This window comes from Homo sapiens, chromosome 18 (genome assembly GCF_000001405.40).
Source record: "Homo sapiens chromosome 18, GRCh38.p14 Primary Assembly".
Classification (NCBI taxonomy): Eukaryota; Metazoa; Chordata; class Mammalia; order Primates; family Hominidae; genus Homo; species Homo sapiens.
In genome coordinates this window covers 46,175,246-46,202,202 of record NC_000018.10, presented here as the reverse complement: position 1 = coordinate 46,202,202, position 26,957 = coordinate 46,175,246, and the positions used below count along the sequence as shown (strand labels likewise).

The following is a 26,957-nucleotide window of genomic DNA, read 5'->3' as shown; positions in this document are numbered from 1 at the left end:
TGAGCTAAAAATTGGACATAAAACAACCTAGAAATACTAGAGTTGTCCTGGGAGCAAATACCATACTAGTTTGAGAACAGAAGATTAAGCTTTAGGCCAGGGCAAAGTTAAGAAAACTAGATCTAGGCCAGGCATGGTGGCTCATGCCTGTAATCCCAGCACTTTGGGAGGCTGAGGAAGGTGGACCACCTGAGGTCAGGAGTTCGAGACCATCTCGGCCAACATGGCGAAACCCCATCTCTACCAAAAATACAAAAATTAGCCAGGCGTAATGGCGCCCGCCTGTAATCCCAGCTACTCAGGAGGCTGAAGGAGGAGAATCGCTTGAACCCAGGAGGCAGAGGTTGCAGTGAGCCGAGATCACTCCACTGCACTCCAGCCTGGGTAACAGAGTGAGACTCGGTCTTAAAAAAAAAAAAAAAAGAAAAGAAAAGAAAAGAAAACTAGATCTGATATTCCTGCCATGAGTTGGGACTCTCACAGTAGCTTATACCGCTAGTGAAAGGGAGATCTAGGGGAAAAAAAACACCTGCCAACAGAGGGCTTACCAAGAAACTTGTAGGTCAATGCTGGGAGATCAGAACTCAGAAAATTTGATACTACTTCCTTATTATTACTTGGATCTAGAATTCAAATTTACACTGTCCATGTGGTCAAGAAACCCTGAAAAAGCAAAGAAATCCGCAATGAAGGAAAGCATCGTCACCCTAGGATCTCAGAATCTCCACCACATAAATTTAACCAAATAGAGTTTATAGGACAAAAAAAAGTCCAAAATGGACAAAAAAACAAGTCTACTTCACAGAGTCTGTTGAAACTACAAATACATATTCAAACCCGCAAGGAATCATCCTACACATATTTTTTTGAAAGCCTATATGAAAAGTATTTCAAAATTAAAAAACAAAACAAAACCAAGGTCAGGCATAGTAGATCACGTTTGCAATCCTAGCACTTTGGGAGGCCAAGGTAAGGAAGGATCTCTTGAGCTCAAGAGTTCAAGACCAGCTTGGGCAATATAAGGAGATCCTATATCTACAAAAAAATATTTTGAAAATTAGCAGGACATGGTGGCATGCACCTGTGGTCCCAGCTATTCGGGAGGCTGAGGTAGGAGGATCACTTGAACCAGGAGGTTGAGGATGCAGTGAGCTGTGATCATACTACTGCACTCCAGCCTGGGTGACAGAGCAAGACCCTGTCTCAAAAAAAAAAAAAAAAAAGAAAAAAGAAAATGATGTAATCAAAATCGTAGTAGTGCCCTACTAGCACCCATGTATTTGTAGCACAGAAAAGGCATTCAACACAGAAAAGGCATTTATTTGTGTGTAGTTAGCATGAGCTAGGCACTTTAGTTAAGGATGAAATAAGATATTCTCAAATAACTGCTGCATTAGTGTCACTGTCTCAAAAAAAAAATGATGTAATCAAAATGAGCAGGGACAATGACAACAAATGCTAAAAAACATCCAGAGTTCCAATGCAATGCTTTGCAGCTGTAGAAATGAATAAGAAGCCACTTCATGGATACTGCTACCTACAGCCAGACTTCAGCTGCCCTACCTGTGCCAAAGCCCAACCATAAAAACCCCATCCTGGCCAGGTGCGGTGGCTCACATCTGTAATCTCAGCACTTTGGGAGGCTGAGGCGGGCGGATCATGAGGTCAGGAGTTTGAGCCCAGCCTGGCCAACATAGTGAAACCCCATTTCTACTAAAAACACAAAAATTAGCTGGGCGTGGTGGCACGTGCCTGTAATCCCAGCTACTGAGGAGGCTGAGGCAGGAGAATCGCTTGAACCCGGAAGGCAGAGGTTGCAGTGAGCCAAGATTGCGCCACTGCGCTCCAGCCTGGGTGACAGAGCAAGACTCTGTCTTAAAAAAAAACAAACGAACAAACAAAAAAACTGTAACCTGTGACATCTGACATCTTGTCCCTGGCAAATCCTGAACTCAGTATAAATGACTCCCAGTTTCCATAAACTGATAAAATTGATTGATTAGATAGATAGCAAATGTGGTCTTTCGGAAAAATGAATAATTCAGGTTTGGTCAGAGAAACAGAACCACCAGGTCTTAAAAATACACCCTCTGCCCCCAGCACGCGCGCGCACACACACACACACACACACACACAATAAAGAATTTTCTGTAAGGCTATCTGCATCTGATGCTGGCGCTTAAAATCCACAGGGCCGCAGGTGAGACAGAAAGATGGATGTGGCAGAGAACAAGTAGGAGAGAGCAAGAAACAACGAGCTAGAAATCACACACACAAGCTTAAGTCCACAGGACAAACTGAACTCTGTATTAGTTCTTGTTGCCTCTAACCTTGATGGTATAGATGTCCTATAGAACCAAACCTCTTTGTCAAACAGCTAAACATATACCTGGCCCAGGAGTCAGCAGAGCTGAAGAAGATTGGGAAGGAGATCTAGGGGAGAGTTAAACAGTTGCAGTCCCATAAGCTGCTTCACTACAAAGAAGTGAGGTGACTCAACAGATAAGCAACAATGTATGTAAACAACAAAATGGCCACTCTCCAAATCTCCTACAGTAATCTCTCTTGTGCCCAACCTTACAAGAAAGACACAGGAAAGTGTAATCACAGCATTTTGGGAGGCTGAGGCGGGTGGATCACTTGAGGTCAGGAGTTCAAGACCAGCCTGGCCAACATGGTGAAACCCCACCTCTACTAAAAAAAAAAAAAAAAAAAAAAAATGAGCTGGGTGTGGTGGCACACACTTGTAGTTCCAGCTACTCAGGAGACTGAGGCAGGAAGAATCGCTTGAAGCCAGGAGACAGAGGTTGCACTGAGCCGAGATCACTCCACTGCACTCCAGCCTGGGCAACAGCGAGAGATTCCATCTCAAAAAAATAAAATAAAATAATTTTTAAAAATTAAAAAGAAAGATACAGGAAAGGAGTTTCTAGGAAATGTAGTTCAGCCTGAAATAACATATAAGCCCACCATGGAAAGGTAAAAGATGGCATGAATACTGTGAAAGTTAAGATAGAGGTGCAAAACAAGCAAGAAGGTCTTAAATATTGACTGAGGGCAAGTTTCAAATTTAATTTTGTTTTATCTCATTTACTCCCAGACTGCTTTAAAATCCATAATCTTTGCGTGCTCATTTGCTGTAATTCTATGGGTTCCATATTTCCCATCTCATCTTCCAATTCTAGCTGGACTATAGATGTAGGTTTATGATTATCATGACAAAACTAAGCTACAAAAGGACTATGAATGAGGAACTCTTTTCTATATTAGAAATGATCTCCAGGGTCCATTTTTAAGAAGGAAAAAGGCTGGGCACAGTGGCTCACATCCGTAATCCCAGCACTTTGGGAGGCCGAGGCAGGTGGATCACAAGGTCAGGAGTTCGAGACCAACCTGGCCAACATAGTGAAACCCCATCTCTACTTAAAATACAAAAATTAGCCAGGTGTGATGGTGCACGCCTGTAGTCCCAGCTACTTGGGAGGCTGAGGCAGGAGAATCACTTGAACCCGGGAGGTGGAGGTTGCAGTGAGCCGAGATGCACCACTGCACTCCAGCCTGGACAACAGACCAAAACTCCATCTCAAAAAAGAAAAAAGACAAGTGGGTACAATATGGTATTTGTATAAAACATGAGGGAAGAAAATCTACCTACATTTGCGTATTTTAAAAATCTATAAGGAAACAAGAAATTAGTAATTCTTACTTGTGAAAAGTAGGAAGGTGAAAGGTAGAGAATCAAAATGGGAGAATGAACTTTTTATAATATTGTCTCATAGTTCTTCGTTTTATGGACCAATGTAAAAATCTTTCAAAACTGCATTACAATGTAACTATTAAAAATTAAATTTAAAAAAGAGTCAAGCTTCTTTTTTTTTTTTTTTTTTTTTTTGGAGATGGAGTCTGGTTCAGTCATCCATACTGGAGTGCAGTGGGGGCGATCTCGGCTCACTGCAACCTCCACCTCCCGGGTTCAAGTGATTCTGTGATTCTCGTGCCTCAGCTTCCCAGGTAGCTGGGACTACAGGCGCCACCACCATACCCGGCTAACTTTTGTATTTTTAGTAGAGACAGTGTTTCACCATGTTGGTGAGGCCGGTTTTGAACTCCCGACCTCAAGTGATCCAGCCACCTCAGCCTCCCACAGTGCTGGGATTATAGGCGTGAGCCACCACACCTGGCCCACAATTTTCAAAAATGGAAATATCGTAGGAAAAACTGGGCAGGTTAAGTAACAGATTACACACAGCTAAAAAGAAAACTAGCAAACTAAAAGACAGATTTGAAGAAAATACCCATAACGGCATACAAAAAATATGAGATGGAAAATATAAAAGAGGTGAAAGTACATCATGCAGAATCATAAGTCCTAATCAAGGAACTACCAACACACGTCCTCCTGGATTTCAGAAATGCTATTTATATCAGTGACTCCAGTGTACTTCTTGCTTTCCCCTTTTTGAAAAGAGAGTCTACAGATGTTATCCAACGACTAACTGGCTATTATATGTTGGGTATATATACAGGAGCAGGTAAGTTCTCTCTGTGGTTCACAGGTCTTCAGATCAAATGAAACTGTATTCATCAAGGAACTACATTCAAGGAACCTCACCAGAGAAGCTTCAGCCGTACTTGGACTTAATTAAATGCTGTAAAGAGAGAAGACTTTGGCTAGGCGTGGTGGCTCACGCCTGTAATCCCAGCACTTTGGGAGGCCAAGGTGGGTGGATCCCTTAAGGTCAGGAGTTCGAGACAAACCTGGCCAACACGGTGAAACCCCGTTTCTACTAAAAATACAAAAATTAGCTGGCGTAGTGGTGGGCACCTGTAATCCCAGCTACTAGGGAGGCTAAGGCAGGACAATCGCTTGAACCTGGGAGGCAGAGGTTGCAGTGAGCCATGATTGCACCACTGCACTCCAGACTCCAGACTCTGTCTCAAAAAAAAAAGAAAGGGACACGACTTTTGGGCAATCTTGGGAGTTAAGTATATCTGGCATGTGGAAAAATGTAAATAACTCATGGCCACAAAACACAAGCTAAAATCTTTTTTTATCTGTTCACAAATTCTTTAATGTTCCTCCCTTCAAAAGGGTGACCTTAATTCTCCTCCCTCGAATGCAGGCTGGACTTGATGGCTTGCTTCTAATAATAGAAGACGGCAGAAGTAATGTTCTATGATTTCCAAGATGAGGTTATAAAGAAGACAGTTACCACCTGACATGCTTTGCTCTCTTTCTTCTCACTTCTCTCTCTAGGATTGCTCCCTTTGGGAGACACCAGCCACCATTCCATGAGGGCACTCTTGGAGAGGTTCAAATGGAAAGAATCTGAGGTTTCCACTAAAAGCCAATACTATCTTGCCAGCCATGTGAGTGAGTCACCTTGCAAATGGATCCTCCAGCCCATCAGGTCTACAAATAACTGAAGCCTCAAGCTGACAACCTGACTGTAATCTCATAAAGTCATAATTGACCAACTAGTTAGTTGCTCCTAAATATCTGACTCTCAGATGCTGAAATGATAACGTTTATTGCTAATATCACCCCACTAAATTTTGGGACAATTTTTATGCAACAATAGGTACAAAAATACAAGTGGTATTATCTTACAAATGCAAAATAGGCTTAACATTTACAACTCGGCCAGGCAAGGTGGTTCACACCTGTAATCCCAGCACTTTGGGAGGCCGAGGCGGGTGGATCACGAGGTCAGGAGATCAAGACCATCCTGGCTAACATGGTGAAACCCTGTCTCTACTAAAAATGCAAAAAATTAGCAGGGCGTGGTGGCAGGCGCCTGTAGTCCCAGCTACTCGGGAGGCTGAGGCAGGAGAATGGAATGAACCCGGCAGGCAGAGCTTGCAGTGAGCCGAGATCACGCCACTGCACTCTATCCTGGGCGACAGAGCGAGACTCCGTCTTGGCCGGGCACGGTGGCTCACGCCTGTAATCCCAGCACTTTGGGAGGCCGAGGCGGGTGGATCACCTGAGGTCCGGAGTTCAAGACCAGCCTGACCAACATGGAGAAACCCCATCTCTACTAAAAATACAAAATTAGCTGGGCGTGGTGGCGCATGCCTGTAATCCCAGCTACTCCGGAGGCTGAGGCAGGAGAATCGCTTGAACCCGGGAGGCAGAGGTTGCTGTGAGCCGAGATCGCACCACTGCACTCCAGCCTGGGCAGCAAAAGTGAAACTCTGTCTCAAAAAAAAAAAAGAAAAAGAAAAAGTAAACACAGACTAGACAGTAAATTATTTTATATTATTATTGTTAATTGTTGCAGATGACAATGGTATAATGGTTGGGTTTCTTCAAAAGTTTATCTGGACCAGGCACAGTGGCTCATGCCTATAATACCAGCATTTTAAGAGGCTGAAGCAGGTAGATCACTTGAGGTCAGGAGTTCGAGACCAGCTTGGCCAACATGGCGAAGCTCTGTCTCTACTAAAAATACAAAAATCAGCCAGGTGTGGTGGCACACACTTGTAATCCCAGCTACTTTGGAGGCTAAGGAGGAGGACTGCTTGAACTCAGGAGGCGGAGGCTGCAGTGAGTCCAGATCGTGCCACTGCACTCCAGCCTGGGTGACAGAGCAAGACTCCCCCTCAAAAAAAAAAAAAAAAAAAAAAAAAAAAAAAAAAAGTTTATGTGGGATGCAAGGCGTGGTGGCTCAAGCTGTAATTCCAGCACTTTGGGAGGCCAAGGCAGGAGGACTGCTTAAGCCCAGGAGTTTGAGACCAGCCTGGGTAACATCATGAGGCCCCATCTCTACAATGGGAATGACAGTGCACATCTGTGGTCCTTGCTACCTGGGAGACTGAGGCAGGATTGCTTGCTCCCAGAAATTCCAGGCTGTAGTAAGCTATGATCGAAACACTGCACTCCAGCCTGGGCAACTGAGTGAGGTTCTATCTCAAAAAAAAAAAAAAAAAAAAGGTTAAATAAAAGAATTTAGGAAAAAATTAATGAAAGCAGAAAGCATAACCAAAAACAAATGGCAAAATGTGGATAATTATTGAAACTGTGTAATAAGTAGGTACACAGGGAATCATTATTACACATCTCTGTGTATATTTTAAAGTCTTTGAAAATATATTTGAGGCCAGGCATGGTGGCTCATGCCTGTAAATACAGTACTTTGGGAGGCCAAGGCAGCTGAATCACTTGAGGCCAGGAGTTCGAGACCAGCCTAGTCAACATGGCGAAACCCCGTCACTACTAAAACTACAAAAAATTAGCCAGGCGTGGTAGCACACACCTGTAGTCCCAGGTACTCTGGTGGCTGAGGCAGAATCGCTTGAACACAGGAGGTGGAGGTTGCAGTGAGTCAAGATCACACCACTGTACTCCAGCCTGGACCACAGAATGAGACTCTATCTCAAAAAAAAAAAAAAAATTAATTAAATTTAAATTTAAATAAAAACAAGAATCCGGTCGCGGTGGCTCACACCTGTAATCCCAGCACTTTGGGAGGCCAAGGCTGGTGGATCACGAGGTCAGGAGTACAAGACCAGCCTGGTCAACATGGTGGAACCCCGTCTCTACTAAAAATAAAAAAAAATTAGCCAGGCATGGTGGCACACGCCTGTAGTCCCAGCTACTCAGGAGACTGAGGCAGGAGAAATCACTTGAACCCAGGAGGCGGAGGCTGCAGTGAGCCGAGACCATGCCATTGCACTCCAGCCTGCGTGACACAGCGAGACTCCGTCTCAAAAAAAACAAACAAAAAAAAAAACAAAAAAAAGATTCTGTAATAGCTCCTTTTAGTAGAGATGGGGTTCCACCATGTTGGCCAGGCTGGTCTTGAACTCCTGAACTCGTGATCCATCCGCCTCGGCCTCCCAAGGTGCTGGGATTACAGGCGTGAGCCCCCGCACCTGGCCTATTAAAGAATCTTAAACCTCCCCTCCATAACAGGAAAGACATGGGAAAAATCAAAAGAAACCAGAGGGCCAGGCATGGTGGTGGACACCTGTAATCCCAGAGCCTTGGGAGGCCAACGCAGGAGAACTGCTTAAGTCAAGGAGTTTGAGACCAGCCTGGGAAACATAGCCAGACCCCATCTATACAAAAAATTTAAAAATTAGCCAGGCATGTAGAAGGACTGCTTGAGCCCAGGAGTTGGATGTGGCAGTGAGCCTTTGCACTCTGGCCTGGGCAACTGAGCAACACTGTCTCTTAAAAAAGAAAGAAACAAACAAGAAAAGTTAGGGGCACTGAACTTAAAACCCAAGAAGAGATTTCAAAGTTTCATTTGAGCTAATTTAAAGGTGTGTAAATATCCACTACAATATAAGGTTAGGGGACCCGCACCGTGGCTCACGCATGTAATCCCAGCACTTTGGGAGGCCAAGGTGGGCAGATCACTTGAGGCCAGGAGTTCAAGACCAGTCTGGCCAACATGGCGAAACCCCATCTCTACAAAAAATACAAAAATCAGCCAGGCGTGTTGGCATGCACTTGTAATCCCAGCTACTCAGGAGACTGAGACACAAGAATAGCTTGAACCCAGGAAGTGCAGGTTGCAGTGAGCTGAGACTGCACCACTGCACTGCAGCCTGGGTGACAGAGCAAGACTCTGTCATTAAAAAAAAAAAAAAAAAAAAAAAACCCGGCTGGGCGCAGTGGCTCACACCTGTAATGCCAGCACTTTGGGAGGCCGAGGTGGGTGGATCACTTGAGGTCAGAAGTTCAAGACCAGCCTGACCAACGTGGTGAAACCCCATCTCTACTAAAAATACAAAATTAGCTGAGCATGCTGACACATGCCTGTAATCCCAGCTACTCGGGAGGCTGAGGCAGGTGAATCACTTGAACCCTGGAGGTGGAGGTTGCCGTGAGCCGAGATCATGCCATTGCACTCCAGCCTGGGTGACAAGGGCGAAACTCCACCTCTAAAAAAAAAGCAGGGGTGGGGAATCTGCATGAACTCACAGAACCAATACTGCCAATGCTGTAGGTAGTACTGTAGAGTCAGGATTTTAAATAAAGTCATTCCAGAGTCCACATTCTTACATTCTTTGTTTGTTTGTTTTGAGACAGAGTCTCACTCTGTTGCCCAGGCTGTAGTGCAGTGGTGCAATCTCAGCTCACTTGCAACCTCCACTGCCCAGGTTCAAGCAATTCTCCTGCCTCAGTCTCCCAAGTAGCTGGGACTATAGGAACGTGCCACCATGCCCAGTTTCACTATTTGGCCAGACTGGTCTCAAACTTCTGACCTAAGGTAATCTGCCCACCTCAGCCTCCCAAAGTCCTGGGATTCCAGGCGTGAGCCACTGCACCTGGCCCCAGAGTCCACATTCTTTTTTTTTTTTTTTTGAGACAGTCTCAGCCGGGCGTAGCGGCTCACGTCTGCTGTAATCCCAAGACTTTGGGAGGCCAAGGTGGGAGAATTATTTGAGGTCAGGAGTTCAAGACCAGCCTGGCCAACATAGTGAAACCCCATCTCAACTAAAAATACAAAAATTAGCCAGGCATGGTGGCGGGCCTGTAGTCCCAGCTACTCTACTTGGGAGACTGAGGCAGGAGAATCGCTTGAACCTGGGAGGCAGAGAATGCAGTGAGACGAGATCACATCACTCCGGCGTGGGCGACAGAGCAAGACTCTGTCTCAAAAAAAAAAAATTGAGATGGAGTCTTGCTCTGTCGCCAGGCTGGAATGCAGTGGCATGATCTCAGCTCACTGCAACCTCCACCTCCCGGGTTCAAGCAATTCTTCTGCCTCAGCCTCCTGAGTAGCTGGGATTACAGGCATGCACCACCACGCCCAGATAATTTTTTTTTTGTATTTTTAGTAAAGACGGGGTTTCACCATATTGGCCAGGCTGGTCTCGAACTCCTGACCTTGTGATCTGCCCACCTTAGCCTCCCATATTGCTGGGATTACAGGCGTGAGCCACCTCACCCAGCCAGAGTCCACATTCTTAATCACTCTCTGCTCTACAGCAAATCCTACCTACCACTACATCCTATAATAATGAGCTGTATCAATAAATTGGTAAAGTCAAGAGAAAGGATGCTTCTGTTATAATTATGCTCTTTTAACATTATGATTTTCAGTCAAAAATGCTGAAAAACACACTACCAAAAATTGGAAGCAACCAACTGGAAGCAAACATACTATCAAAAATTGGAAGCGACTTACTATCCTTCAGTAGGTGAATGGATAAACTGTGGTCATCCAGACAATGGAATATTATTCATCCATAAGAAGAAGTGAGCTACCAAGCCACAAAAGAAACTTGAATACTATCACAAAGTGAAGAAACCAATCTGAAAAAACTACATATTGTATCATTCCAATTGTATGACATTCTGGAAAAGGCAAAACTATAGAGACAACAGATCAATGGTTGCCAGAGGGTGGGGGAAGGGAAGAATGAAGAGGCCGAGCACAGAGGATTTTTAGGCCAAACTACTCTGTATGACGCTGTAATGGTAGATACATGTCATTGCAAATTTGCCCATACCCCTACAATGTACAACACCAACAGTGAACTCTAATATATAACCTATGAACTTTGGGTGAGAAGGACAAGTTAATGGAGGTTCAACAATTGCAATAACCGTGCCTTTCTGGTGGGAGATATTTTACTTGGCATTAGGCATTTGTCCAAACCCACAGAACTGTTATTTGGTTTTATTCAACATAGACTCTCCGTATTAATCAATACAAAAAGAGTGAACCCTAATGTTAACTACGAACTTTAATAATGTATCAGGCCAGGCGTGGTGGCTCATGCCTGTAATCCCAGCACCTTGGGAGGTTGAGGCATGAGGGTTGCTTGAGATCAGCCTGGGCAACACAAGATGAAGTTTTGTAGAGACCCCATCTCTACCAAAAAAAAAAAAATTAAATAAACAATAAATAATAATGTATCAATATTGGCTTGTCAGTTGTAACAAATATGCCAGACTAATGCAATATGTTAATAGGGCAAAATGGGTTGAGGACCGTCTGTACTTTCTGTTAAATTTTTCTGCAAACCTAAAACTCATCTAAAAAATAAAGTCTATTAATTTTTTTTCTCAATACTGAGGAAATGAGTTAGTTGAGAGCTACTGGGGGTCAACTCTGCCCTCATGAGAGGAAAGCCTGGCTGAAAATAAAGCCCAAAAGCAGTACACAGAGCCAGTACCCAAAGAGATAAAAAACAGTGCCGAGATAATATCAAATGAGTGCTGGATCCAATTGGGCCAGAGACCAGTTGCACACTGGATTTGTCACAGTTAAATGAATCTATTAAATCTCACTTTTGCTTTAAAAAAAACCACAGATGATGCATACACACACACTACAGCCATCTTCTGCAAAAACATGTCTCATAGGAGCTAGGGTCATAGCATACAGAAAACCAGTGCAGTTAATGGGTCTACATACAGACTTGGATAAGGCAATATGGGAGCAATCTGTACTACCTTGGCCTTTGCTTCTTAGCATTAAAACTAGTGCCTCCACGCTACACTACAGGGGTGTCACTGGGGCTGCTGGTAAACTTTAGATACAGCATAATCTTACTATGAATTAGCTGAGATCTCAATGTTTTCAAAAAGTTTCAAGAAATTTTTTTAAAAGATGTAGGTAATTTCATTTCAAAAATCCATCCAAAGAATGCTCTAGACACTAATGATTTTTTTAAAATGATGAATGTTTTACCACATATTTGCAGGTTTTTTGAAAAGCTGTAATTGTTTTTTTTTTTCGGGGGGCCGGGGGACAGAGTTTCGCTCTTGTTGCCCAGGCTGGAGTGCAGTGGCGTGATCTCAGCTCACCGCAACCTCAGACTCCCGAGTAGCTGGGATTACAGGCATGCGCCACCACGCCTGGCTAATTTTTGTGTTTTTACTAGAGACGGGGTTTCTCCATGTTGGTCAGGCTGGTCTTGAATCCCCGACTTCATGTGATCCACCCGCCTCGGCCTCCCAAAGTGCTGGGATTACAGGCGTGAGCCACCACGCCCGGCCTGAAAAGCTGTAATTTTAAAACACTACACAAGATAAAAATGGCCTTCCCATGTTGACAACTATCTCTAAAAAATTCTATTTAGGTTTTCAGAACATTTTAATTATTTTCATTAATTATTGCTCATAGCTAACCTAAAATGTATAATCCTGATTTCTAAGAAAAGAATATGTAGGTCAGTGGCCAAAATATATTTAGATAGATATATTTAGAAGAGTTTCTGAATTTCCAACCTGCCTCTCAGGATAAGACTAGATCGTGCTACACAAGTAGCCTTCTTCAACCAAACATAAAAGTTCTGAATGTCTGTATCTTTACAAAAGATAAATTAGGTTATACACATTTAAAAGATAAGGTTTTCTTTTTTTCCTTTTTTGAGACAGTGTCTCACTCTGTCACCCAGGCTAGAGGGCAGGGGCATGATCATCACTCACTGCACCATCAAACCCTCAGGCTCAAGCGATCCGCCCACCTTGGTGTCCCAAGTAGCTGGGACTACAGGCACATGCCACCAAGCCCAGGTAATTTTTTATAGAAACAAGGATTTCACTATGTTGCCCAGACTGGTATCAAACTCTACCCTCCCTGGTCTTGCAAACTACAGGGATTACAGACATGAGCCACCACACCTGGCCAAAGATAAGGTTTTATCTGGGCACCATAGCATGTGCCTGCAGTACCAACTATTCAGGAGGCTAAGGCAGAGGATCACTTGAACCCAAGAAATTTAAGGCCAGCCTGGGTAACATAATGAGACCCCATCTCTTTAAATAATTTTTTTTAAAAAAAAGTTTTAATACAGACTCCTTTAAAGTAAGTTTTCCTAATGTATTTGAAGGTTGCTATTTAGAATTTGGTTGCCCACAAATACACAAGAATACACCTTTTGTGTAAATAAAAGCACATCTACATTTCATACATAAGAAGGGGAACAAAACAGCTCCTTGCCTTGACCTATACTTTCCCTATACGTGTTTCCTTCCAATTAGAATAAACTTTGATTTTTTTTTTTTTTTTTTTTTTTTTTGAGACAGTCTCGCTCTGTCACCCAGGCTGGAGTGCAGTGGCATAATCTTGGCTCACGGCAATCTCCACCTCCCAGGTTGAGGCGATTCTCCCGCCTCAGCTTCCTGAGTAGCTGGTATTAGAGGCACCGGCCACCACGCCTGGCTAATTTTTTTATTTTTAATAGTGATGGGGTTTCACCATTTAGTCTAGGCTGGTCTCGAACTCCTGACCTCAGGTGATCCACCCGCCTCGGCCTCCCAAAGTGTTGGGATTACAGGCGTGAGCCACCCCGCACCCGGTCAACTTTGATTTTTTTTTGAAGCCCAGATATGTGTCACTCAAATCTCATCAGCAGCATCATTTGCCCTCATTAGGCTCCAGATCTTTCAACATACCAAGATCTTTTCTGACTCAGGATCTTGAACTCCTGGGCTCAAGTGATCCCCCGGCCTCTGCCTCCCAAAGTGCTGAGACTATAGGCATGAGCCACTGCGCCCAGCCAACATTTTGATTTTTTAAAAGATAAGTTGACATTTCAAAATCTTATATTTTTATGTTAGTAATTCCCTAACCACTTAAAATTTTTGCCAGGCATGGTGGCTCACACCTGTAATCTCCAGCACTTTGGGAGGTCAAGGTAGGAGGATTGCTTGAGCTCAGGAGTTCGAGACCAGCGTAGGCAACATAGTGAGACCTCGTCCCTACTAAAAATAAGAAAAACAAGCTGGGCCGCCACATGTCGCGGCTCACGCCTGTAATCCCAGCACTTTGGGAGGCCTATGCAGGTGGATCACCTGAGGTCAGGAGTTCCGAAACCAACCTGGCCAACATGGTGAAACCCCATCTCTACTAAAAAAACAAAAATTGGCCGGGTGTAGTGGCAGGCACCTGTAATTCCAGCTGCTCCGGAGGCTGAGACAGGAGAATCACTTGAACCCGGGAGGCAGAGGTTGCAGTGAGCCAAGATCGTGCCATTGCACTCCAGCCTGGGCAACAAGAGCAAAACTCTGTCTCAAAAATATATATATATAAGATTTTAAAGGACAAAATCTGTACAAGTGGACAGTTACTCTTTACCTCAGTTACTCTTGCCTGACATTATCTGCCAAGGCATCATAAAAACAGTATGTGCCCTTCAAATAGGTTTAATAATACTAGGCTTACAAAAAACTTCCATACTGTGCTTACTTAAAATTATGCTCAATGTATGCCAAATGCTTAATCAATAAAAGAAAAACTATGCCATACAAGGAGGGAAGAGGGAGTTATTAAGCAAGGGAGTTACTTAGCGGGGGAGTTCCAGTTTAGCCTCATAGCAGTTTAGTCTAAACAAATTTTTTAAGTTATTTTTTAATAGGCTTAGCTTGAAAACCCAAAAACTGTCAGCTGGCTTACAGTTTAAATATTAAACCATGTTATGTTTATTACTGAATCTATTATTCAAAAATTATGTACTATCCTAGCACCAAAAATCAAGGAAACTGGGCACTTCTCATATGAATGAAACTAAATAAACTGAAGTCAAGAGACCACAAACAAGAATATAGTTAACTCCAAGAAAATAAAAATTTCTGCCTTTAAGACAGTTATTGGCCGGGCACAGTGCTCACGCCTATAATCCCAGCACTTTGGGAGGCCAAGGCGGTCGGATCACCTGAGGTAGGGAGTTCAAGACCAGCCTGACCAGCATGGTGAAACCCTGTGTCTACTAAAAATACAAAAAGTAGCCAGGCGTGGCGGCGTGCACCTGTAATCTCAGCTACTCGGGAGGCTAAGGCAGGAGAATTGCTTGAACCCGGGAGGCGGAGGTTGCAGTGAGCCGAGATGGCGCTACTGCACTCCAGCCCGGGTGACAGAGCAAGACTCCGTCTCAAAAAAAAAAAGACAGTTATCATATAAAACATTATAGTTGGCATCTACTGCTGATTTTTTGTTTGTTCGTTTTTTCATGAGACAGAGTCTCGCTCTGTCACCCAGGCTGGAGTGCAATGACGCGATCTTAGCTCACTGCAACCTCTGCCTCCCGGGTTCAAGCGATTCTCCTGTCTCAGCCGTCTTTTTAAAAAAGTAGTAGTAAGGGCTGGGCAAGGTGGCTCATGCCTGTAATCCCAGCACTTTGGGAGGCCAAGGCGGGCGGATCGCCTGAGGTCTGGAGTTCGAGACCAGTCTGACCAACATGGAGAAACCCCGTCTCTAACAAAAACACAAAATTTGCCAGTCATGATGACGCATGTCTGTAATCCCAGCAACTCGGGAGGCTGAGACAGCAGAATCACTTGAATCCGGGAGGCAGAGGTTGCAGTGAGCCTAGATCATACCACTGCACTCCAGCCTGGGCAACAAGAGAGAAACTCCATCTAAAAAAAAAAAAAAGTAGTAGTAAGTTCTTTAATAGTTGGGAGTAAGGTTAAAAAAACAAAATTCGGCCGGGCACGGGGGCTCACGCCTGTAATCCCAGCACTTTGGGAGGCCGAGGTGGGCGGATCACGAGGTCAGGAGTTCAAAACCATCCTGGCTAACACAGTGAAACCCCCTCTCTACTAAAAGTACAAAAACAAAATTAGCTGGGCGTGGTGGCGGGCGCCTGTAGTCTCAGCTACTCGAGAGGCTAAGGCAGGAGAATGGTGTGAACCCGGAAGGTGGAGCTTGTAGTGAGCCGAGATCCCGCCACTGCACTCCAGCCTGGGCAACAGAGCGAGACTCCGTCTCAAAAAAAAAAAAAAAAAAAAAAAATCACCAGTTGGGTGCGGTGGCTCACTCCTGTAATCCCACCACTTTGGGAGACCAAGGCAGGAGAATCATGAGGTCAAGAGATTGAGACCATCCTGGCCGACATGGTGAAACCCAATCTCTACTAAAAATACAAAAATTAGGTGGGCATAGTGGCGTGCACCTGTAGTCCCAACCACTCGGGAGGCTGAGGCAGGAGAATCGCTTGAACCTGGGAGGTGGAGGCTGCAGTGAGCCGAGATAGCACCACTGCACTCCAGCCTGGCGACAGAGCAAGACTTTGTCTCAAAAAAAAAAAAAATTCATGATAATCAGCTGTCCATCTTTAAAAACCACTCTCCATAAACTTTTAAATCAATCAATAAAAATAATAAAATAAAAACACTCCTAGCTCTTTGTGAAAGTTTGCCTATTCTATACCTAAACACTTCAAAAAAATGCCCCCCCTCCCTGTCCAAAATGCCCAACTTAAGGTATTTTCGAAGTTTTGCCTGTTTTTTTATTTTTATTCTTTGAGACAGGGTCTCACTCAAGCTGCCCAGGCTGCAGTGCAGTGGCACGATCTCAGCTCACAGAAACCTCCACCTCCTGGGTTCAAGCGATTCTCCTTCCTCAGCCTCCTGAGTAGCTGAGATTACCAGTGTAAGCCAGCAAGCCCAGCTAATTTTTGTATTTTTAGTAGAGTCGGGGTTTCATCATGTTGGCCAGGCTGGTCTCAAACTCCTGACCTCAAGTGATCTGCCCGCCTAGGCCTCACAAAGTACTGGGATTACAGGCATGAGCCACCACGCCCGGCCTTACCTGGTTTTTTAAACAAGAATTGAGGATAGGGAATATGCAGACTGGAAAACAAGAGACAAATTGCAATGCATGAAGATAAAACTAGAATGAAGCAGGGCTTTCAAACATTATTGTGGACCTACTTCCTGCTGGCTTTAGCAATTGTCACAAAAAGACTTAAAAGTTATTTCAGTTAGACAAGTTGGCTAGCACAGTAGAGAGCTATGACAATGGTGGAAGACAATCACAATACTAGTAATCATCCAAGAAAATTAACACCTAACAATTATTACCTGATTTTTCTGACTGTGGCACATGTGCACACACAGAGCTATCAGAGGAAATTTAAGCCCAAGAAGTTAAGAGTTAACTTTATACATGAGGGAGGAGAATAAATAGCACACTATGAGAAAGACAACTGAAAAGAAACAAATTATGCACCTAAATGTTTTTACTTACTCCCTCAGCCCTCTATGTTGCATCTCCCATGAAAACAGGGATCATGTTCAGTATCAGTTCACTCACAGTTCCTAACACATAATCAATATCTGATATTTGTTGAATTGATCAACTGAATCTTTTAAACCAAGACCACTAATGAAACAACTTGTTTGCTTAAAAGTACTATTCATTTGTATATGAAAATACATTCCATTACATAGAATCAACATGATTTCTCACAGAGTAACTTCCCTTTTCTTTCTACATAAAACCTAAGACAAAAACTGACTCAACTGCTAATAGCCTAGTAAAGCTGTTTCCTTACATTTAGAATACTGCATTTAAAGTGATTGTGTGTGTATACGCAAATATGCAAGAATCAGGCACTATGAAACTAAGTATCTTTGGCTACATAACCACAAAATGAGGTAGAAAGCAGTATCTTACTAAAATTCAAATGAAGGCCCCTCTCCTTACACATTCAATTCTATGAAGAGACTCCATTGCATTCATAATACTCATCTTCCTAAATCTTTGTTGTTGTTGTTGTTGTTGTTAGAGACAGGGTCTCACTTCTATCACCCAGGCTGGAGTGTAGTGGCACAATCACAGCTCATTGCAGCCTTACCTTCCTAGGCTCAGGTGATTCTCCCACCTCAGCTTCCTGAGTAGCTGGGACTACAGCCGCATGCCACCAAGCCAGGCTAATTTTTGTATTTTTAGGAGAGACGGAGTTTCACTATGTTACCCAGTCTGGTCTCAAACTCCTGTATTTAAGCCATCTGCCCACCTTGGCCTCCCAAAGTGCTGAGATGACAAGTGTGAGCCACAACACCTGGCCATAAATTTTGGTTTTCGAGGCCGGGCGCAGTAGCTCACGCCTGTCATCCCAGCACTTTGGGAGGCCGAGGCAGGCAGATCACAAGGTCAGGAATTCGAGACCAGCCTAGCCAACATGCTGAAACCCCGTCTCTATTAAAAATACAAAAACTGCTGGGCGCAGTGGCTTACACCTGTAATCCCAGCACTTTGGGAGGCCAAGGCAGGCAGATCACGAGGTCAGGAGTTCGAGACCAGCCTGGCCAACCTAGTGAAACCCCGTCTCTACTAAAAATACCAAAAATTAGCCAAGCGTGGTGGTAGGCACCTGTAATCCTAGCTACTCAGGAGGCTGAGGCAGGAAAATCGCTTGAACCCAGGAGGCAGAGGTTGCAAGTAGCTGAGATCATGCCACTGCACACCAGCCCGGGTGACACTGTGAGGCTCCGTCTCAAAAATAAAATACAAAAATTAGCCAGGCATGGTGGCACACACCTGTAATCCTAGCTACTCAGGAGGCTGAGGCAGGAGAATCGCTTGAACCCGGGAGACGGAGGTTGCAGTGAGCTGAGATCGCGCCACTGCACTCCAGCCTGGGCGACAGAGCAAGACTCTAACTCAGAAAAAAATTTTTTTAAAAATTTGGTTTTGAAGGACTTCTTTCAATTATTTGCTGGGATTTTGAGTCAGTTTTCCCACCAAGAAGCTGCAGCATAGACAATGCAGACAATGCAAGAACCAAAGATTAGGACTAAAATAAAAAACACTTACAGAAATACAATATAGTAGAAAGAGCCCTTTTCTCCACAGCAACTCATCCCTTCCCTTAATCCTCAAAAGAAAGAAAAGTTTGAAGAAGCTATAAACAAGCATAAAAGACTCAAACTAGGACTGATGAGAGAGGATGCCCCATTCAGAGTAAGGAATTATGAGTAACAAATTAACACAACTGGGCAACGATCACCAACAGCTACTAACATCACAGGGAACCAAATATTATGCACCTACTGATCCAAGTACCATCTATAAAGTATTCCCCTCATCCCCTGCAAAAGAAGCAAGAGAAAGAATATATATTATAGAAACAATCTGATCAAGCTTCTAAATCTAATACCAATTAACTAGAAACCCAGGGGTCAGAGAAAAACGTTTACCACCACCACCACAGAAATCCAAAGGAATGTAACTGCTAAATCCACACTGGGAAAACTTCTTTTGTAACTAATAATCTGCTAGGGAAAAGAAATGGAGGGGGAACCTACAGATTACAAAACAATGCAGAGACCTTATTTGGCTCTTGATCTGACACATTTATGAGATAAGAGGGAAATCTGAACACTGACTATCATATTACATTAAGGAACTCTTCCTTTTTTTTTTTAGTGTGGTAAGTTTTTCGGTTTTCTTTCCTTCAACAGTGAAGCTGACTGGGAAACTGGAGTGCTAAAAAGTTAGAGTACAGAAAGGGAACTCTAATATTAATACAGCTGAATGGATCTGTCCATAATGCACTGAATTTGGCCTACCCGGAACTTAAATATAAATTGTGAGATTGCAACCACCAGAGATCAGCTTTGCTTGCTTGCCAGCCAACTTTTTCTCCACTGATATAAACTCTATAAATAGGTCAAAGGTGATAATGGCTGCTCAAATCACTTCATATTGCAGATATTACTACTTCTGGCATGTACCTGGACCTGCACCAGGGCTGTGAATAAACTAGCATCAAGTAAGAAGCCAAAGAAGTTATCAAATGCAAAAAAAAAAAAAAAAAAAAAGCACTGTGGCTAATGACTCTCTAAAGTACTCAAAAGCATCATCAGTGTAAATCAAGAATAATTTAAAACAGAGGTTCTTTTAATTTTTAAAAATAATTTTTTAATAGAGACAGGGTTTCACTTTGTTGCCCCGGCTGGTCTAAAACTCCTGGGCTCAAGCTACCCTCCCAACTCTGCCTCCCAAGGTGCTGAGATTACAGGTGTGAGCTACCATGCCTGGCCCTAAAACAAAGGTTCTAAATTTTCTCCAAGATTTCTGCCCTGGTCATTTTCTATCTCCTTCAGAAGACAATTCACATAAAGATGGATAACCACATGCCAGGAACTGAGGTCCCAAGATAAAAGCTGCCAAAATTCTCTCCACTATACACACCTTCAGGCTCACTGCAAAGTGCTTAGTTGATTTCAGCAGAGAAAAATAGTAAGAAACCCTTGACACTAAACTGTTGATTTAAGAACAAGCTATGATTCTATGCTAGGTTAAAACTAAGGCAGACAGGATACTGCTTAAAATTTTAACCACATGAAGTTTTTGTTCTTAATACAGAAAGAAAAACAATCCTGTTTTCCTTAAATTTTAGTCCACACCCAACTTCCCTATCCCCGACAATACCTTTCTCTAATTATAAGGCACCTAACAAAATGCAGACTCCAGACATTATTGTAAAGGTCATTTTTTTAAACTAGTCAACTCAGTAAAAAAATAACTTCTACTGGTCACTTTGGTCAGTATCTTGTTTCTCTAATGCTAATTATGCTAATAAAAACTTAATTTCAGCCAGGCACAGTGGCTCACATCTGTAATCCCAGCACTATGAGAGGCTGAAATGGGAGGATCACTTGGGCCCAGGAGTTGGAGACCAGCCTGGCCAACATAGTAAGACCCCATCTCAATCAATCAATCAATCAATCAAAATAAACTTAATTTCTAGACTACCCAAGCACAATTCTAGTTTTTTGTTTTTTTTTGAGACGGAGTCTCGCTCTGTCGCCCAGGCTGGAGTGCAGTGGCGCGATCTTGGCTCACTGCAAGCTCCTCCTCCTGGGTTCATGCCATTCTCCTGCCTCAAACCTCCCGAGTAGCTGGGACTACAGGTGCCCGCCACCACGTCTGGCTAATTTTTTGTATTTTTAGTAGAGACGGGGTTTCACCACGTTAGCCAGGATGGTCTCGATCTCCTGACCTCATGATCCGCCGCCTCAGCCTCCCAAAGTGCTGGGATTACAGGCATAAGCCACCATGCCTGGCACAATTCTAGGTTATATACATTCTTAGGAATGGCTGCTCTAAGTTTTAACAGATTTAATGTTGTTTCTCTCTGAACAACAATCAGAACTTAATACATGAACTTGAATTACAAGCAAATGTATTTTGTAAATGAACTGGCATTACAAAAAAACGACATTTCCCCCCCCACCTCCCGAGAGGGAGTCTTGCTCTGTTGCCCAGAGCTGGAGTGCAATGGCATGATCCCTGCTCACTGCAACTTTCACCTCCCAGATTCAAGCAATTCTCCTGCCTCAGCCTCCCAAGTAGCTGGGATTACAGGCGTGCACCACCACACCCATCTGATTTTTGTATTTTTAGTAGAGACACGGTTTCATCATGTTGGCTAGGCTGGTTTCGAACTCCTGATCTTGTGATCCACCTGCCTCGGCTTCCCAAAGTGCTGGGATTACAGGCGTGAGTTACCATGCCCAGCCCAAAAAACGACATTTAAGTTTCCAGCCTTTTAAAGCTTAGAGATACCAAGAAAAATGCTATTTTCTAATACCTTATTTAAAATGAATTTATAAGGGAAAACACTAGTTCCATACTACAGTTGTTTTGTTATGCAGTACTTTTTTCCCTTATAATCTACTTTCTCTTCTCCACATTTTAGAGCAGGAAGGAAACTCAGAAATCATCTGGTTCACTAGGTTGAGTTCTGTGGGCAGAGACTGCTTGCTTGTTTTGTTTTTATTGTTGTTTTTTTTTTTGAGACAGAGTTTCCCTCTTGTTGCCCAGGCTGGAGTGCAATGGCACAATCTTGGCTCACCACAGCTGCCTCCCAGGTTCAAGAGATTCTCCTGCCTCAGCCTCCTGGGTAGCTGGGATTACAGGCATGCGCCACCATGCCCAACTAATTTTGTATTTTTAGTAGAGACAGTGTTTCTCCAAGTTGGTCAGGCTGGTCTCAAACTCCGAACTTCAGGTGATCCGCCCGCCTCGGCCTCCCAAAGTGCTGGGATTACAGGCGTGAGCCACCGTGCCCTGCCCCAAACTGCTTATTTTATGTGCCCATTACCACCTGGCATGTAAATGCTCAGTAAATGGGTTTTTAATTTAACCAGGTATAAATACCACATATGCATTAAGTCCCTGCTGATAGATTTCCACTTTAGATTAATTGTCACTTAACTAGAAAATACTCATTTAGGTAGGTTTTAAAATTATTTAAAGTCAAGTTAATAATTTAGGAATTTACACCATCTACCTATTAAGTGGCAGAGTCTGAGCAAAGAGGAATGAGGTCCCTTATTTTGAACAGACATGAAAGAGAACAGAAACAAAACTTAAAACACTGTAAATTAAAGCCAAAATTCCTAACAACTAATCAAACAACTTATCAAATCTCAGTTATATTGGCTACTTTAAAGTATTTTAAAATCACATTTACTATTATCAGCTGCTACAAATATGTTCCGATAAATCTGTATAACACATAGATCACATAGTTTCCTCTCCTAGCAGTTCAGGAATATAGAAGAGAACTTTAGGCCGGGCGCAGTGGCTCACACCTGTAATCCCAGCACTTTGGGAGGCCAAGGCGGGCAGATTACCTGAGGTCGGGAGTTTGAGACCAGCCTGACTAACATGGAGAAACCCCTTCTCTACTAGAAATACAAAATTAGGCAGGCGTGGCAGCACATGACTGTAATCCCAGCTACTCGGGAGGCTGAGGCAGGAGAATCGCTTGAACCCAGGAGGCGGAGGTTGCGGTGAGCGGAGATGGCGCCATTGCACTCCAGCCTGGGCAACAAGAGCGAAACTCCGTCTCAAAAAAAAAAAAAAAAAGATAACTTTAAAAAAGCAAGATTACTTTTTAGTTTCACCCTGCTCCTGCTCCTTACTTTTACAAGGCCCTGTAGGCTGAGTGTGAAAACTGACTGACTGAACATCAATCCCACTTCTGCTGAGAGAAGCTGCCCACACAGAAGTAAAAAACACTGCTTCTTTAAGTGGAATCATAAGAGTTCTGAAAAAGTAAGGAAAAGAGGTACAGGTAAAGGCTAAAAGGATTCAGAAGAGTATCATGACAACAGTCAAACTCAAAACCAAGACTGGAAATTGACAACTAAAGAAAAATAACTATCAGATTTATTTAATCTGATGACCAAGAAATCAAAATAAATAAACCAAACTAAAATAAATAAAACCAATAAAATTTATATTCACTGGGCTGGGCTCAGTGGCTCACCTCTGTAATCCTAGCACTTTGGGAGGCCAAGGTGGGCGATCACTTGAGGTCAGGAGTTCAAGACCAGCCTGGCCAACAGGGTGAAACTTCGTCTCTACCAAAAATATAAAAAATTAGCTGGGTGTGGTGGCACGCGCCTGTAATCCCAGCTACTCGGGAGGCTGAGGCAGGAGAATCACTTGAACCCAGGAGGCAGAGGTTGCTGTGAGCAGATATCCTGACACTGCAGTTCAGCCTGGGTGAAAGGGCAAAACTCCATCTCAAAAAAAATTTGTATTCACTCAACTTAAGGATAATAAAGAAAAATATTTTTGTTGTTTTTTTTTTTTGAGAAAGAGTCTCAGGCAGTGGCATGATCACCACTCACTGCAGCCACAAACCCCTGGGCTCAACTGCTCCTCCCATTTCAGCCTCCTGAGTAGCTGGGACTACAGGCGTGTGCCACCACACCCAGATAATCTTTTAATTTTTCTGTAGAGACGGTTCTGCCATGTTGCCCAGGCTGGTCTCCTGGGCTCAAGCAATCCACCGGCCTCAGCCTCCCAACGTGCTGGGATTACAGGCATGAGCCACTGCACGTAGCCCCAGAAAAATCTTTAAAAAGTTATGTCAGGGCCAGGCATGGTGGCTCCCGCCTATAATCCCAACACTTTGGGAGGCCGAGGTGGTGCATCACCCGAGGTCAGGAGTTCGAGACCAGCCTGGCCAACATGGTGAAACCCTGTCTCTACCAAATACAAAAATTAGCCTGGCATGACGGCACATGCCTGCAATCCCAACTACTCGGGAGGCTGAGGCAGGAGAATCACTTGAACCCAGAAGGTGGAGATTGCAGTGAGCGGAGATTGTGCCATTGCACTCCAGCCTGGGCATCGCAGTGAGACTCTGTCTCAAAAAAAATAAATAAATAAAAATAAAAGGAATGCCTATCTCATTCTTCACATTCTACCTGGAATTCTTTCCTCCAAAAAGAAGAAAATTCCCAACCCATTAGCGGACTAATAAGGTACCTTTGCAACTTGGCCCTATCTCCATCTGCCCTATCCATTCCTTTTGAAAACTCAAGGCACTGGCCCCACTTAACCATTCAAGTGCACTGATAATCATGACTTTGGTTAGGCTGCCCTAGCCTGGCATGCTCACCTGGAAATCCAACTCGAACCTCAGGTTTAAATGTCTAAGCTCCTTAAGCACCAGGTGGCCTTGTTGGTCTTATTCACCACTATAGTTCCTGCAACTAGAGCACTGCTGGCACACAGTAAACACTCAATAAATTGTTGTTGTGAGAATAAAGACTCTCCATATGAATTATTATTTTTTGAAACAAGGTCTCACTTTGTTGCCCAGGCTGGAGTGCAGCGGCACAGTCACAGCTCACTGTAGCCTCAACCTCCTGAGCGATCCTTCCACCTCAGCCCCACAAGCAGCAGGGACTAAAGATGCATACCACCCCACCCAGCTAAGTTTTTAAATTTTTTATAGAAATGGGCTCTCAAGGCCGGGCACGGTGGCTCACACCTGTAATCCCAGCACTTTGGGAGGCCGAGGCAGGTGATCACTTGAGGTCAGGAATTCGAGACCAACCTGGCCAACATGGTGAAACCACATCTCTACTAAAAATAAAAAATTAGTCAGGCGTGGTGGCAGGCGCCTGTCTTAGCTACTTGGGAGGCTGACATGGAAGAATCATTTGAACCCGGAAGGCAGAGTTTGCAGTGAGCCAAGACCGCGCCACTGTACTCCAGCCTGGGCAACAGAGTAAGACTCCATCAAAAAAAAAAAAAAAAAAAAGTAAAGAAAAAAAGAAAGAACAAACGAACAAAAGAAGAAAAAGAAAGGGGCTCTCACTATGTTGCCCAGGCTGATCTCAAACTCCTGAGTTCAACTGATCCTCCCGTCTCAGCCTCCCAAAATGCTGGGATTAGAGGTGTGAGCCACTGTGCCCAGCCCCTTACAAATATTTTATCCACTCTATTTTCTATCCCCCTTCTATATAGCTCTCCCCTTTTATAGTCTCACAACTTTTTATTCATAGTATCATATGTACTTCATTTTGCCTAGAGAATTACAGTAACCCAAGAAACTTTATTTGGTCCCAAACTCTTTCCTAAAATAACAGAAGATAATGAAATCACTATTCCTTAAAGGAACACATTAAAAATCCAACATTTAGGCCGGGTGCAGTTGCTCACAACTCTAATCCCAACACTTTGGGAGGCCAAGGCAGGAGGACTGCCTGAGCCCAAGAGTTCAAGACAAGTCTGGGCAACATAGGGAGACTCCATCTCTACAAAAAATTTAAAAATTAGCCAGCCGTGGTGGCTCACACCTGTAATCCCAGCACTCTGGGAGCCGAGGCAGGCAGATTGCCTGAGGTCAGGAGTTCGAGACCAGCCTGACCAACACAGAGAAAACCCGTCTCTACTAAAAATACAAAATTAGCCAGGCGTGGTGGCACATGCCTGTAATCCCAGCTAATTGGTAGGCTGAGGCAAGAGAATCGCTTGAACCCAGGAGGTGGAGGTTGCGGTGAGTGGAGATTGCACTCCAGCCTGGGCAACAAGAGCAAAACTCCATCTCAAAAAAAAAAAAAATTAAAAATTAGCTGAGTGTGGTGGCGTGAGCCTGTGGTCTCAGCTACTTCGGAGGCTGAGGTGGGAGGAATGCTTGAGCTCGGGAGGTTGAGGCTGCAGTGAGCTGTGATCATGCCACTGCACTCCAGCCTGGGTGACAGAGCAAGAGTGTCTTTAAAAAAAAAAAAAAAAGCACACACACACACATTTTTCACCTTTACAGGTTTTTCTCAAGTACTGTCTATTCAGTAAACATGAATACATGCTATTTCCATATCCTCAGTTATGTGCAGGAAAATGAGGAAGATCTAAGATGATTTACCAAAGGTTTGGGTCTCTAGTGTACATGAATTCCAAACTTTAGAAAGAAGAATACTGAAATTGCCTATTTATCAAGTCTGTTCATGCACGTGTCAAAAAAAGCTGTAAGATTGGGAATCCCAACAAAACAACTTCTTGTATAATGAGTAACTACAGAAGCGCACAGAATTTACTAGTCACACAATAAAGAGACTGAAAGTACCAATATCACTATTAATATTAGAAGCAAGAAACCTTTGAAGGACACGCATTAGCCCTCAGTTCTAATGGAACTGCATTAAATTAGAACCTAAAGCTGAATTTATCTTTACTATATGGGTTTTGAATTAATCATAACCATAAAACAAAGAGTATTATGACAGTTACTCTCACATAAATGCATGTTAAATATAAAGTGAATAAGTAACAACTACACGGTGAACTTATTCTAACAATGGAGAAAGTTTCCAGCTCCAATATCCAGTCCATCCTATTTTCCACAAAAAGTTGTCAGAAAAAATTTTTTTTCCCATTAAGAAATCTGATTCAGTCCAGGCGCCACGGCTCACGCCTGTAATCCCAGCACTTTGGGAAGCCAAGGCGGGCAGATCACGAGGTCAGGAGGTCAAGACCAGCTTGGCCAACGTGGTAAAACCCCGTCTCTACTAAAAATACAAAAATTAGCTGGGCGTGGTGGCGCGTGCCCGTAATCCCAGCTACTCGGGAGGCTGAGGCAGGATAACTGCTTGAACCATGTGTTTTTTTTTTTTTTGTCCTGAGACTCCTCAGGACATCAGGCAGTAACTATCAATTGTAGGCCTCTAAAAATGCTTGTTAAACCAAAAGGCAATGCTCTGATTACTGGAGGAATCTAGATTGCCAAGATCAGCAAAACTACATTAGAAAGTTAATAGCTTCCATCCTTAAAATATCCCAAGAGAAGAAAGGGAGTGATTCTGTTAGCATGTACCCAATACTACACAATAAAAGCCTAAGCAAAATTGGCAGATGTTTTTGTAATTAAGAGGTCCAACCTTGACGAAGTATCATCAGTAGGATTTTAATTCTACTGGGTAAGAGGATTCAGAAAGCAAAAGGTCAGGC

At 43.5% G+C, this 26,957-nt stretch overlaps 1 protein-coding gene across 4 annotated transcripts in view, besides 1 other annotated feature; it reads right to left on the bottom strand.

Annotated features, from left to right (window-relative positions):
* The window catches only part of ARK2N (arkadia (RNF111) N-terminal like PKA signaling regulator 2N), a 93,440-nt gene that overhangs the window by 64,790 nt on the left and 1,693 nt on the right, over window positions 1-26,957 (bottom strand). The gene's annotated exons all lie outside the window — the stretch shown is intronic.
* Window positions 8,668-8,757: an enhancer, noted in NCBI's record as "active region_13276". NCBI's record gives its function as "activates an Ori minimal core promoter by ATAC-STARR-seq in GM12878 lymphoblastoid cells {active_cell/tissue: GM12878}" and the evidence as "EXISTENCE:reporter gene assay evidence [ECO:0000049][PMID:35858748]".